The following is a 14,659-nucleotide window of genomic DNA, read 5'->3' as shown; positions in this document are numbered from 1 at the left end:
CATAATTGTCAGATTCACCAAGGTTGAAATGAAGGAAAAAATGTCAGGGGCAGCCAGAGAGAAAGGTCGGGTTATCCTCAAAGGGAAGCCCATCAGACTAACAGCAGATCTCTCGGCAGAAACTCTACAAGCCAGAAGAGAGTGGTGGCCAATATTCAACATTCTTAAAAGAATTTTCAACCCAGAATTTGATATCCAGCCAAACTAAGCTTCATAAGTGAAGGAGAAATAAAATACTTCACAGACAGGCAACTGCTGAGAGATTTTGTCACCACCAGACCTGCCCTAAAAGAGCTCCTGAAGGAAGCGCTAAACATGGAAAGGAACAACCGGTACCAGCCACTGCAAAATCATGCCAAAATGTAAAGACCATCAAGACTACGAAGAAACTGCATCAACTAACGAGCAAAATCACCAGCTAACATCATAATGACAGGATCAAATTCACACATAACAATATTAACTTTAAATGTAAATGGACTAAATGCTCCAATTAAAAGACACAGACTGGCAAATTGGATAAAGAGTCAAGACCCATCAGTGTGCTGTATTCAGGAAACCCATCTCACGGGCAGAGACACCACATAGGCTCAAAATGAAAGGATGGAGGAAGATCTACCAAGCAAATGGAAAACAAAAAAAGGCAGGGGTTGCAATCCTAGTCTCTCATAAAACAGACTTTAAACCAACAAAGATCAAAAGAGACAAAGAAGGCCATTACTTAATGGTAAAGGGATCAATTCAACAAGAGCTAACTATCCTAAATATATATGCACCCAATACAGGAGCACCCAGATTCATAAAGCAAGTCCTGAGTGACCTACAAAGAGACTTAGACTCCCACACATTAATAATGGGAGACTTTAACACCCCACTGTCAACATTAGACAGATCAATGAGACAGAAAGTCAACAAGGATACTCAGGAATGGAACTCAGCTCTGCACCAAGCGGACCTAATAGACATCTACAGAACTCTCCACCCCAAATCAACTCTCCACCCCAAATCAACAGAATATACATTTTTTTCAGCACCACACCACATCTATTCCAAAATTGACCACATAGTTGGAAGTAAAGCTCTCCTCAGCAAATGTAAAAGAAATTATAACAAACTATCTCTCAGACCACAGTGCAATCAAACTAGAACTCTGGATTAAGAATCTCACTCAAAACCGCTCAACTACATGGAAACTGAACAACCTGCTCCTGAATGACTACTGGGTACATAACGAAATGAAGGCAGAAATAAAGATGTTCTTTGAAACCAACGAGAACAAAGACGCAACATACCAGAATCTCTGGGACACATTCAAAGCAGTGTGTAGAGGGAAATTTGTAGCACTAAATGCCCACAAGAGAAAGCAGGAAAGATCCAAAATTGACACCCTAACATCACAATTAAAAGAACTAGAAAAGCAAGAGCAAACACATTCAAAAGCTAGCAGAAGGCAAGAAATAACGAAAATCAGAGCAGAACTGAAGGAAATAGAGACACAAAAAACCCTTCAAAAAATTAACAAATCCAGGAGCTGGTTTTTTGAAAGGATCAACAAAATTGATAGACTGCTAGCAAGACTAATAAAGAAAAAAAGAGAGAAGAATCAAATAGATGCAATAAAAAATGACAAAGGGGATATCACCACCGATCCCACAGAAATACAAACTACCATCAGAGAATACTACAAACACCTCTATGCAAATAAACCAGAAAATCTAGAAGAAATGGATAAATTCCTCGACACATACACTCTCCCAAAACTAAACCAGGAAGAAGTTGAATCTCTGAATAGACCAATAACAGGAGCTGAAATTGTGGCAATAATCAATAGCTTACCAACGAAAAAGAGTCCAGGACCAGATGGATTCACAGCCAAATTCTACCAGAGGTACAAGGAGGAACTGGTACCATTCCTTCTGAAACTATTCCAATCAATAGAAAAAGAGGGAATCCTCTCTAACTCATTTTATGAGGCCAGCATCATCCTGATACCAAAGCCGGGCAGAGACACAACCAAAAAAGAGAATTTTAGACCAATATCCTTGATGAACATTGATGCAAAAATCCTCAATAAAATACTGGCAAACCAAATCCAGCAGCACATCAAAAAGCTTATCCACCATGATCAAGTGGGCTTCATCCCTGGGATGCAAGGCTGGTTCAATATACGCAAATCAATAAATGTAATCCAGCACATAAACAGAACCAAAGACAAAAACCACATGATTATCTCAATAGATGCAGAAAAGGCCTTTGACAAAATTCAACAACTCTTCATGCTAAAAACTCTCAATAAATTAGGTATTGATGGGACGTATCTCAAAATCATAAGCGCTATCTATGACAAACCCACAGCCAATATCATACTGAATGGGCAAAAACTGGAAGCATTCCCTTTGAAAACTGGCACAAGACAGGGATGCCCTCTCTCACCACTCCTATTCAACATAGTGTTGGAAGTTCTGGCCAGGGCAATTAGGCAGGAGAAGGAAATAAAGGGTATTCAGTTAGGAGAAGAGGAAGTCAAATTGTCCCTGTTTGCAGACGACATGATTGTATATCTAGAAAACCCCATTATCTCAGCCCAAAATCTCCTTAAGCTGATAAGCAACTTCAGCAAAGTCTCAGGATACAAAATCAATGTACAAAAATCACGAGCATTCTTATACACCAACAACAGACAAACAGAGAGCCAAATCATGAGTGAACTCCCATTCACAATTGCTTCAAAGAGAATAAAATACCTAGGAATCCAACTTACAAGGGATGTGAAGGTCCTCTTCAAGGAGAACTACGAACCACTGCTCAGTGAAATAAAAGAGGATACAAACAAATGGGAGAACATTCCATTCTCATGAGTAGGAAGAATCAATATCGTGAAAATGGCCATACTGCCCAAGGTAATTTACAGATTCAATGCCATCCCCATCAAGCTACCAATGACTTTCTTCACAGAATTGGAAAAAACTACTTTAAAGTTCATATGGAACCAAAAAAGAGCCCACATCGCCAAGTCAATCCTGAGCCAAAAGAACAAAGCTGGAGGCATCACACTACCTGACTTCAAACTATACTACAAGGCTACAGTAACCAAAACAGCATGGTACTGGTACCAAAACAAGAGATATAGATCAATGGGACAATATGCCATTCTTAAGATGGCTCCATTGAGGTCTCTGGAATTTTCCACCAGGCCACTGTACCCATTTTCCAAGTTTTCTGACGTTATCCTTTACTTTTTTTCTTTTTAAAATAATGTCAAACTAAGAGAAAAGTTACAAGGAGCTCCTAAATATCTTTCTTCTGGATTCAGCAATTGTTAACATTTTGCTATATAACTTTATTATTTCCTCCCCACTCCCCCCCGACCTTTAGAACAATTTGTAAGTTGTAGACATAATGTCCTTTACCCCTAAATATTTTAGTATATATTTCTTAAGAAAAAGGGCATTCAATTCTATTACCATAGATCAAAATCAGAAAATTTAACATCCATACAGTAATCTATAATATATAGGCTTTTAAAGATTTTCATAATGTAGCCATTTTAAAGTGATAAAATATTGTCAGTAGTTGGGAAAGTACACATAAATTAGTAAGTCAGTAAAGCTGAATACAAAATATACATGTTCAAAATTTAAAAAAAAAGCAAAATATACACGTTGATTTTTTTAAATGTTAACATTCTGTATTATGTAAATTCACATGTATAATTACCAGAAGTTATCCTGCAGAGTGTGAATATTTTCTTCAAAAGAAGAAAAAAATTAAATAAAAAGAATAGCTATAATACTTATCATTATTATTTAATTAATAAAAAGATATCTGTTTGTAGTAGCCATGTTTTCCAAATCTGAATCCATGATATCTAGTCCTATAGAGTTAGACAAATTAAATCACATTTTTCTATTCACTTAAGTCATCTTATTGAATCAATAATAAAAGATACTGACTTGGAATAAACAGGACAAGTGGGTGAGGACACCCCTCACAATCCTCATCCTCCATCATAGATCCTTCATCTTAAACTAATGGAAATGCAGAAAAACTCCCAGGACATCTGTGCACTCAAGTGGAATTCTAGATCCGGCAGATTCAAGCTCAATCAGCCAGGCTTGTGTGGTTGTGGGCTCAGTCCAAGGCCTGGCTTTGGCAGTGACTTCCAGATGATAAGAGTAAAAACAGTGCAGATTGTATTTATTCTTAGGAAGGACCAAAGTTTCTAGAAACCTTGCCAAAAAATGAAAGACATGGAACTCCTGAAAGGTAAAAAGGGAAGAGGGTTAAGTACAAGATTGAGTAGATGTGTCTAAAGTTGACATTTAATTTTTAGTGATCATTTTTTACAAATCAGTTTTTACAGATGTTTTTAACCATTGCAACGTGTTATTTAAAAAAAAATTTTTTTAAAGGCCAGAAATAGGTAGTTATCATTTCTGTCATTAGGGCTTATCTCTTCCAGTATTTATTAAAATATATAAGCAGTTCAAGAGGGTAGATCTTATGTTAAGTATTCTTTTTTGTTTGTTTGTTTGTTTGTTTTTGAAATGGAGTCTCACTCTGTCGCCAGGCTGGAGTACAGTGGTGCAATCTCGGCTCACTGCCATCTCCACCTCCTGGGTTCAAGCAATTTTTCTACCTCAGCCTCTCAAGTAGCTGGGACTACAGGCGCACACCACCACAACCTGCTAATTTTTGTATTTTTTTAGTAGAGACAGGGTTTCACCATATTGGCCATGCTGGTCTTGAACTCCTGACCTTGTGATCCGCCCACCTTGGCCTCCCAAAGTGCTGGGATTACAGGCGTGAGCCACCGTGCCCAGCAAGCATTCTTACCACAAGTAATAATAATCGTAACAACAGGGGTGGGAGGAGGCTTGGGGAGGTGGTGGATACACTTACTGCCTTGATGGTGGTGAGGGCTTTGTGGGTGTGTACTTATCCTCAAACGCATCAAGATGTATACATTAATTATGTAGGGCTTTTAAAATGTCAATCATACCTCAATAAAGTGGGTTTTTAAAAAATAAGATATGAGTAGTTCAATTTAACAAGTATGTTGTGGGTGCCAATTTACATGCAAATTATGATTTAGTATCAACCCCAGCATGGTGTGTTTGGCTCAGGGTCATTTTGTAGACATTTGGCAATAGACAGAATTCACATTTGTTAGGAATAGAAGTAATACATAGGAAAATCTTTGCTTATTTTTTAGATGTTTGGAAAGGAATTAAGTGGCAAATATTGTTTTAAAATACTTGCCTGTCATATGACTTCTTTATCAGTGGCTTCCAAGTAACAGCCTGGGAACCAGCGCTCATCTAGTGTTGCAGTGGCCTAAAGCAAAAAATAAAGACAATATAGTCTGCCTGCCTGCCTGCCTGTCTCTCTCTCTATCTATCTGATGTAAGGTTACCAACTGTCCTTTCTTAGAAAGTACTGCCTATATGCTGCTATTTTATTCTTATAAAATTTGGGGGTATAAAATACAATTTTCTGGCTGGGCGCCATGCCTCATGCCTATAAGCCCAGCACTTTGGGAGGTAGAGGTGGGTGGATCACTTGAGGCCAAGAGTTCGAGACTAGCCTGGCCAACATGGCAAAACCCCACCTCTACTTAAAATACAAAAATTAGCTCGGTGTGGTGGCGTGTGCCTATAGTCCCAGCTACTTAGGAGGCTGAGACACAAGAATCACTTGAGTCCAGAAGGTGCAGGTTGCAGTGAGCTGAGATGGCGCCACTGCACTTTAGCCTGGGTGACAGAGGGAGACTCTGTCTCAAAAAGCAAACAAAAAAACCCTTTATTTGTTTTTTTTTTAGGAACTCGTGGTAAGAATAGAAAGTAGCAAAATAAAGTTAACAATCCTCTATTGGTTGTCCATTCTTCTTTTTCTTACATTTTCTTACTGATGGAATTCAAAAAATTCTGGGAACCATTGCAGGAAAATAATGGTATAACAGAAAGAGTTCTAGTTTAAGAAAAGCAGACGTCTACATATGTGTTGGGGCAGGTTAGAGAACCTCTGAGTCCTCATTTCTTGAGGTGTAAAATAGTAGTAGTCATACCTACATGAAGGATTATTGTGAGGAGCAGGTGACATATTAGTTGGTATCAAAGTGCTATCAAAAATTGGATTGTGTGAAAGCACTTTTTAAATTCTAAAGCACTGTGTAAATACAAGGTGCTATTATTAGCTGGGATTTAAATTCTGGAAAACACCAGTCAGATAGATGATGACTTGCTTCCAGATTCAAAACACATATGTTATCCAGGTAGCAGTATGTCTTTCATCGTCCAGAGCAAGTGAGTTATGCTAACAAAGCTGGTTTTTCTTCACCTGCCAGGGTGAATGGTGAAACCATCGTATTGGGTTACATTGAGTACTCTCTTATCTGTGACTTAGGAATGAACTTTGAAATGATGTTTTTAAAAAAATTCTTGAACATTTGCAAAGATCACTCAAGTATGGGGTTTATTTTTCTTTGTTTTTACAGCCAAAGAAGCCTAAAGCCCCAGACAATCCATTTCATGGCATTGTTTCCAAGTGTTTTGAGCCTCATCTCTACGTGTATATCGAATCCCAAGACAAGTGAGTGAGGAACATTCGCTGTTTTCTGCCTGCATTTCTCGCCGCTCTGGTCATGACTGGGTCTTAGGAGCGCACAGCTCCTTCCGGGGCTGAAAGATGGTTGTGGCATGCCTGTGACCCTCCCTAGAAACCCATTAGGGGTATTTTTACATCTTTTGAATGTTATCATTAATTGTGTCTATAAATCTCAGAGCCTGAGTTTGCCCCTAATAAGGTCCCCAGTGGATCCCTACATTGGGATCCCTTCCTATGTGGGTGTTGAGCCCTGACATATATCAGCCCACAAAGCTTTACAGTGTCAGGCACTGGGTATTGGAAGAAAGCCTAGTCTCTAATATATATGTTTTCAAGTATAATTTATCCTTTTATTTTGAAATAATTTAGACTTATAAAAAAGTTACAAAAATAGGACAAAAAATTTTCACATGCCCTCCTCAGAGAATGTTAACATCTTACATAACAACCAGAGTTACCAAAATCGAGAAGGTAATACTGTCCCATTAATGCCCCTTTTTCTGGTCCAGGACCCAATAATCATGCATTTCGTTGTCAGATCTCTTTGATCTTGGTCTCCTTTAATCTTGAGTAGTTCCTCATCTTTTTATTCCCTCCCCTCCCCTCCTTTTTTGAGACAGAGTCTCACGCTGTCCCCCAGGCTGGGGTGCAGTGGTGAGATTATGACTTACTGCATCCTCCATCTCCTGGGCTCAAGCAATCCTCCCACTGCAGTCTCCCAAGTAGCTGGGACCACAGGCACATGCCACCCTCTATTTTTAGTAGAGATTCTGTCTCCCTGTGTTGCCCAGGCTGGTCTGGAACTCCTGGGCTCAAATGATCCACCCACTTGAGCCTCCCAAAGTGCTGGAATTACAGGCATGAGCCACCTTGCCCAGCCATTCCTCAAGTTTTCTTTGTCTTTCACGACCTCAGTGTGTACTGGCCAGGTATTTTGTACAATGTCCTCAGTTTTTGTTTGTTTTTTCTTGATGAAATCAATTTTGGGCAAGAACACCATAAAAGTGGCATTGTATCCCCAGTGCATTGTGTCAAGAGGCACATCACATTGATTTGTCCCATTATTGGGGACTTCGATTACTTGCTTTAGGTGGTACCTGCCAACTGTCTTCAATGTGAAGTTACTATTTTTCTCCTGGTAATTAATAAGTATCTTATGGGATGATACTTTGTAAATATCCTGCTCTCATCAAACTTTTGCCCACTCATTTCGCATCCCTTGATTGATTCCTGACGGAAGCGTTGTTTCTGTGGCATTTGCCAAATGTCGATTGTCTATTTTCATCATTTCTTCTACATTTACTAATTGGAGTTCTACTATATGGAAGAATTTTCCCTCTCCCCTATTTGTTTATATATCAGTATGAACTCATGGATTCTGATTTTATTTTATGGATCATCTATATAATACAGTATATGCTTTTCACGTGGCCAGGTACAGTGGGTCACACCTGTAATCCCAGCACTTTGGGAGGCCAAGGTAGGAGGAGCTCTTGAGCCCAGGATTCAAGACCAGCCTGGGCAACATGCTGAAACCTCATCTTTATAAATAATTTTTTTAAAAAAACTAGTCAGGTGTGGTGATGCACACCTGTAGTCCCAGCTACTCGAGAGGCTGAGGTGGGAAAATCACTGGAGCCCAGGAGGCAGAGGCTGCAATTAGCCGTCACTATGCCACCCAGCTTGGTGACAGAGACTTCGTCTCAAAAGAAAAAAAGAAAAGAAAAGCAAACAAAATATACTATATGCTTTTCACAAACTTGTAGCCTCCAAATATTTTTATAAAGCATCTCACTGCGGCCAGGTTTCTTCCCTCCCACCCTGTTTTTAAAAAAATCCCAAAGACTTCCAAACTAACAGCCGAAGACTGTGTTCGTGCTCCAGTGTCCGTTGTGTGCGTGAGGGGGCATTAGAAAAGGAGGAAGACTCCTCCTCATCCCTGCGTCCTTGTCCGCAGCCAAGCCCTTCCACGTTGGAAGGCAGGTTTTGGAAAGGTCAAGATGATTGTAACGAGATGACTGGAGACAGACTGGCCTGGGCTCCCAGAGGAAGCCTCACAGTCTAAAGAACGCACTCGGAAGGGACCAGAAGGTGGCTCCCATGGGGAGAGCAACAGCGGCTGCAGGAAAGTCCTGAGGGAAGTTCTTCAGGAACACACTGAGGTTCTGAGGGAAGATCTCTGGAAACACATTGGGTTCTGAGGGAGCTTCTTGGGGAATGCATTAGGTACTGAGGGAAGTTATCTGGGAACATATTAGGTCCTGAGGGAGGTTCCCTGGGAACGCATTAGGTACTGAGGGAAGTTCTCTGGGAATGCATTGAGGTTCTGAGGGAGGTTCCCTGGGAACGCATGAGGTCCTGATGGAGGTTCTCTGGGAACGCATTGAGGTTCTGAGGGAAGTTCTCTGGGAACGCATTGAGGTTCTGAAGGAGGTTCTCTGGGAATGCATTGAGGTCCTGAGGGAAGTTCTCTGGGAACACATTAGATTCTGAGGGAGGTTCTATGGGAACCCATTAGGTTCTGAGGGAGATTCTCTGGGAACGCATTTGGTTCAGAAGGGAGTTCTCTGGGAACGCATTGAGGTCCTGAGTGAGGTTCTCCGGGAACACATTAGGTTCTGAGGGAGGTTCTTTGGGAACGCATTCAGGTTCTGAGGGAGGTTATCTGGGAATGCATTAGGTTCTGATGGAAGTTCCCTGGGAACGCATTAGGTTCTGAGGAAAGTTCTCTGGGAATGTATTGAAGTTCTGAGGGAGGTTCTCTGGGAACGCATTAGGTCCTGAGGAAGGTTCTCTGGGAACGCATTGAGGTTCTGAGAGAGGTCTCTGGGAATGCATTAGGTCCTGGGGGAAGTTCTCTGGGAACGCATTAGGTCGTGAGGGAAGGTCTCTGGGAACGCATTGAGGTTCTGAGGGAGGTTCTGTGGGAATGCATTATGTCCTCAGGGAGGTTCTCTGGGAACACACTGAGGTTCTGAGGGAGGTTCTCTGGGAATGCACTGAGGTTCCGAAGGAGGTTCTCTGGGAACTCACTGAGGTTCTGAGGGAGGTTCTCTGGGAACATATTAGGTTCTGAGGGAAGTTCTTTGGGAACGCATTAGGTTCTGAGGGAGATTCTCTGGGAACGCATTGAGGTCCTGAGGGAAGTTCTTTGGGAACGCATTAGGTTGTGAGGGAAGTTCTGTGGGAACGCATTAGGTTCTGAGGGAGGTTCTCTGCTAATGCACTGAGGTTCTGAGGGAGGTTCTCTGGGAACACTTTAGATTCTGAGGGAAGTTCTCTAGGAACGCATTAGGTTCTAAGGGAGGTTCTCTGGAAACACATTAGGTCCTGAGGGAGGTTCTCTGGGAACGCATTAGGTCCTGAGGGAAGTTCTCTGGGAACGCATTAGGTCCTGAGGGAAGTTCTCTGGGAACACATTAGGTTCTGAGGGAAGTCCTCTGAGAATGCATGGAGATTCTGAGGGAGGTTCTCTGGAAACGCATTAGGTTCTAAGAGAAGTTCTCTGGGAACGCATTGAGATTCTGAGGGAGGTTATCTCGGAACGCATTAGGTTCTGAGGGAGGTTCTCTGGGAACGCATTGGGTTCTAAGGGAGGTTCTCTGGGAACACGTTAGGGTCTGAGGGAGTTTCTCTGGGACTGCGTTGAGGTTCTGAGGGAAGTTCCCTGGGAACACATTAGCGTCTGAAGGAGGTTCTCTGGGAACGCATTGAGCTTCTGTGGAGGTTCTCTGGGAACACATTGGGTCCTGAGTGATGTTCTCTGGGAATGCACTAGGTTCTGAGGGAGGTTCTTTGGGAATGCATTAGATGATGAGGGAAGTTCTGTGGGAACGCATTGAGGTCCTGAGGGAGGTTCTCTGGGAACGCACTGGGTTGTGAGGGAGGTTCTCTGGGGACACATTGGGTTCTGAGGGAGGTTCTCTGGGAATGCATTAGGTCCTCAGGGAGGTTCTCTGGGAACACACTGAGGTTTTGAGGGAGGTTCTCAGAATGCACTGAGGTTCTGAGGGAGGTTCTCTGGGAACACATTAGGTTCTGAGTGATGTTCTCTGGGATGCATTAGGTTCTGAGGGAGGTTCTCTGGGAACACATTAGGTTCTGAGGGAAGTTCTCCTGGAACTCATTAGTTCCTGAGGGATGTTTTCTGGGAACGCATTAGGTTTGAAGGCAGGTTCTCTGGGATTGCACTGAGGTTCTGAGGGAGGTTCTCTGGGAATGCATTAGATTCTGAGGGAGGTTCTCTGGGAACGCATTAGGTTCTGAAGGAGGTTCTCTGGGAACACATTAGGTTCTGAGGGAGGGTCTCTGGGAACACATTGAGGTCCTCAGGGAGGTTATCTGGGAATGCACTGAGGTTCCAAGGGAGGTTGTCTGCGAATGTACTGAGGTTCTGAGGGAGGTTCTCTGGGAACGCATTGAGGTCCTAAGGGAAGTTCTCTGGGAACGCAGTAGGTTCTGAGGGAATTTCTGTGGGAACGCATTAGATTCTGAGGGAGGATCTCTGGGAACGCATTTAAGTTCTGAGGAAAGTTCTCTAGGAACGCATTAGGTTCTGAGGAAGGTTTTCCGGGGATGCATTAGGTTCTGAGGGAAGTCCTCTGTGAATGCATTACGTCCTTAGGGAGGTTCTCTGGGAACGCATTAGGTTCTGAGGGAAGTTCTCTGGGAATGCCTTAGGTTCTGAGGGAAGTTCTCTGGGAATGCATTCAGGTTCTGAGGGAGGTTCTCTGGGAACGCAGTAGGTTGTGTGGGAGCTTCTTTGGGAACGCATTATGTTCTGAGGGAGATTCTCAGGGAATGCATTAGGTTTTGAGGGAAGTTCTCTGGGAATGCATTAGGTTCTGAGGAAGGTCCTCTGTGACCTCAGGGTTCTCAGGGAGGTTCTCTGGGAACGAATTAGGTTCTTAGGGAAGTTCTCTGGGAACCCATTAGGTTCTGAGAGGGGTTCTCTGGGAACGCATTGAGGTCCTGAGGGAGGTTCTCTGGAAACGAATTGAGATCCTGAGGGAAGTTCTCTGGGAACGCATCAGGTCCTGAGTGAAGATCTGTGGGAATGCATTAGGTTCTGAGGGAGGTTCTCTGCGAACGCACTAGCTTTTAAGGGAGGTTCTCTGGAAACGCATTAGGTCCTGAGGGAGGTTCTCTGGGAATGCATTAGGTCCTGAGGGAAGTTCTCTGGGAACACATTAGGTCTTGAGTGAAGTCCTGTGGGAACGCATTAGGTTGTGAGGGAAGGTCTCTGGGAATGCATTAAGTTCTGAGGGAGGTTATCTGGGAACGCATTAGGTTCTGTGGGAGGTTCTCTGGGTACCCATTAGGTCTTGAGGGAGGGTCTCTGGGAACGCGTAGAGGTCTTGATCTCTGCGAATGCGTTGAGGTTCTGAGGGAGGTTCTCTTGGAATGCATTAGGTTCTGAGGGAGGTTCTCTTGGAATGCATTAGGTTCTGAGGGAGGTTCTCTGGGAACGCATTGAGGTCCTAAGGGAAGTTCTCTGGTAATGCATCAGGTTCTGAGGGAATTTCTCTGCGAACGCATTAGATTCTGAGGGAGGATCTCTGGGAACGCATTAGGTTCTGAGGGAAGTTCTCTAGGAACGCATTCTGTCCTGAGGGAGGTTCTCTGGGAACACATTAGGTTCTGAGGGAGGTTCCCTGGGAACACATTAGGTCCTGAGGGAGGTTCTCTGGCAATGCACTGAGGTTCTGAGGGAGGTTCTCTGGGAAGGAATTAGGTTCTGAGGGAAGTTCTCTGGGAATGCATTAGGTTCTGAGGGAGGTTCTCTGGGAACGCATTAGGTTCTGAGGGAGGATCTCTGGGAACACCTTAGGTCCTGAGGGAGGATCTCTGGGAACAGATTGAGGTCCTGAGGGAAGTTCTCTGGGAATTCACTGAGATTGTGAGGGAGGTTCTCTGGAAACGCACTGAGGTTCTGAGGGAGGTTCTCTGGGAACGCATTAGGTTCTGAGGGAATTTCTCTGGGAACGCATTAAATTCTGAGGGAGGATCTCTGGGAACGCATTAGTTTCTGAGGGAAGTTGTCTGGGAATGCATTAGGTTTTGAGGGAGCTTCTCTGGGAAGGAATTAGGTTCTGAGGGAGGTTCTCTGGGAACACATTAGGTTCTGAGGGAGGTTCTCTGGGAACGCATTAGGTTCTGAGGGATGTTCTCTGGGACCGCATTAGGTCCTGAGGGAGGTTTTCTGGTAATGCACTGAGGTTCTGAGGGAGGTTCTCTGGGACCGCATTAGGTCCTGAGGGAGGTTTTCTGGTAACCCACTGAGATTCTGTTGGGGGTTCTCTGGGAATGCATTAGATTCTGAGGGATGTTCTCTGGGACCACATTAGGTCCTGACGGTGGTTCTCTGGTAATGCACTGAGGTTCTGAGGGAGGTTCTCTGGCAAGGAATTAGGTTATGAGGGAGGTTCCCTGGGAACGCATTAGGTCCTGAGGGTGGTTCTCTGTTAATGCACTCAGGTTCTGACGGAGGTTCTCTGGGAAGGAATTAGGTTCTGAGGGAGGTTCTCTGAGAACGCATTAGGTCCTGAGGGTGGTTCTCTGGTAATGCACTGAGGTTCTGAGGGAGGTTCTCTGGGAAGGAATTAGGTTCTGAGGGAAGTTCTCTCGGAATGCATTAGGTTCTGAGGGAGGTTCTCTGGGAACACATTAGGTCATGAGGGAGGATCTCTGAGAACACATTGAGGTCCTGAGGGAAGTTCTCTGGGAATGCACTGAGATTGTGAGGGAGGTTCTCTGGAAACGCACTGAGGTTCTGAGGGAAGTTCTGTGGGAACGCATTAGGTTCTGAGGGATGTTCTCTGGGACCACATTAGGTCCTGAGGGTGGTTCTCCGGTAATGCACTGAGATTCTGAGGGAGGTTCTCTGGGAAGGCATTAGGTTCTGAGGGAATTTCTCTGGGAACGCATTAAATTCTGAGGGAGGATCTCTGGGAACGCATTAGGTTCTGAGGGAAGTTCTCTAGGAATACATTAGGTTCTGAGGGAGGTTCTCTGGGAACGCATTAGGTTCTGAGGGAGGTTCTCTGGGAACGCATTAGGTTCTGAGGGAGATTCTCTGGGAACGCATTAGGTTCTGAGGGAGGTTCTCTGGGAACGCATTAGGTTCTGAGGGATGTTCTCTGGGACCGCATTAGGTCCTGAGGAAGGTTCTCTGGTAATGCACTGAGGTTCTGAGGGAGGTTCTCTGGGACCGCATTAGGTCCTGAGGGAGGTTTTCTGGTAACCCACTGAGATTCTGTTGGGGGTTCTCTGGGAACGCATTAGGTTCTGAGGGAGGATCTTTGGGAACGCCTTAGGTTCTGAAGGAAGTTCTCTACAAACGCATTCCATTCTGAGGGAGGTTCTCTGGGAACGCATTAGGTTCTGAGGGATGTTCTCTGGGACCGCATTAGGTCCTGCGGGAGGTTTTCTGGTAATGCACTGAGATTCTGTTGGGGGTTCTCTAGGAACGCATTAGGTTCTGAGGGATGTTCTCTGGGATCGCATTAGGTTCTGAGGGAGGTTCTCTGGTAATTGACTGAGGTTCTGAGGGAGGTTCTCTGGGAAGGAATTAGGTTCTCAGGGAAGTTGTCTGGGAATGCATTGGCTTCTGAGGGAGCTTCTCTGGAAACGCACTGAGGTTCTGAGGGAGGTTCTCTGGGAACGCACTGAGGTTCTGAGGGAATTTCTCTGGGAACGCATTAAATTCTGAGGGAGGATCTCTGGGAACGCATTAGGTTCTGAGGGAAGTTCTCTAGGAATGCATTAGGTTCTGAGAGAGGTTCTCTGGGAAGGAATTAGGTTCTGAGGGAAGTTGTCTGGGAATGCATTACGTTCTGAGGGAGCTTCTCTGGAAACGCACTGAGGTTCTGAGGGAGGTTCTCTAGGAACGCATTAGGTTCTGAGAGAATTTCTCTGGGAACGCATTAAATTCTGAGGGAGCATCTCTGGGAACGCATTAGGTTCTGAGAGAATTTCTCTGGGAACGCATTAAATTCTGAGGGAGGATCTCTGGGAACGCATCAGGTTCTGAGGGATGTTCTCTAGGAATGCA

At 44.0% G+C, this 14,659-nt stretch overlaps 1 protein-coding gene across 12 annotated transcripts in view, besides 1 other annotated feature; it reads left to right on the top strand.

The window, feature by feature from the left end:
• Positions 1-14,659, top strand: part of VPS53 (VPS53 subunit of GARP complex) — a 206,172-nt gene that overhangs the window by 121,979 nt on the left and 69,534 nt on the right. For 10 of the 12 annotated variants that reach the window (XM_047436345.1, XM_047436344.1, NM_001128159.3 and 7 more), the window contains one exon: positions 6,497-6,591. The exons of 1 other annotated variant lie outside the window; for it this stretch is intronic. In XM_047436345.1, coding sequence (XP_047292301.1) covers positions 6,497-6,591 — 95 coding nt within the window. Of the gene's footprint in view, positions 1-6,496; positions 6,592-14,659 lie in introns of those variants that run through there. One more of the 12 variants, XM_047436350.1, reaches the window with a different exon arrangement.
• Positions 8,600-8,750: a silencer, noted in NCBI's record as "fragment chr17:487351-487501 (GRCh37/hg19 assembly coordinates)". NCBI's record gives its function as "represses an EF-1alpha promoter that drives an FKBP-Casp9 reporter gene in an ReSE screen in K562 erythroleukemia cells {active_cell/tissue: K562}" and the evidence as "EXISTENCE:reporter gene assay evidence [ECO:0000049][PMID:32094911]".

Source organism: Homo sapiens, chromosome 17, assembly GCF_000001405.40.
Source record: "Homo sapiens chromosome 17, GRCh38.p14 Primary Assembly".
NCBI lineage: Eukaryota > Metazoa > Chordata > Mammalia > Primates > Hominidae > Homo > Homo sapiens.
The sequence above is the reverse complement of the archived record's forward strand: the minus strand, read 5'-3'. Positions and strand labels throughout refer to the sequence as shown.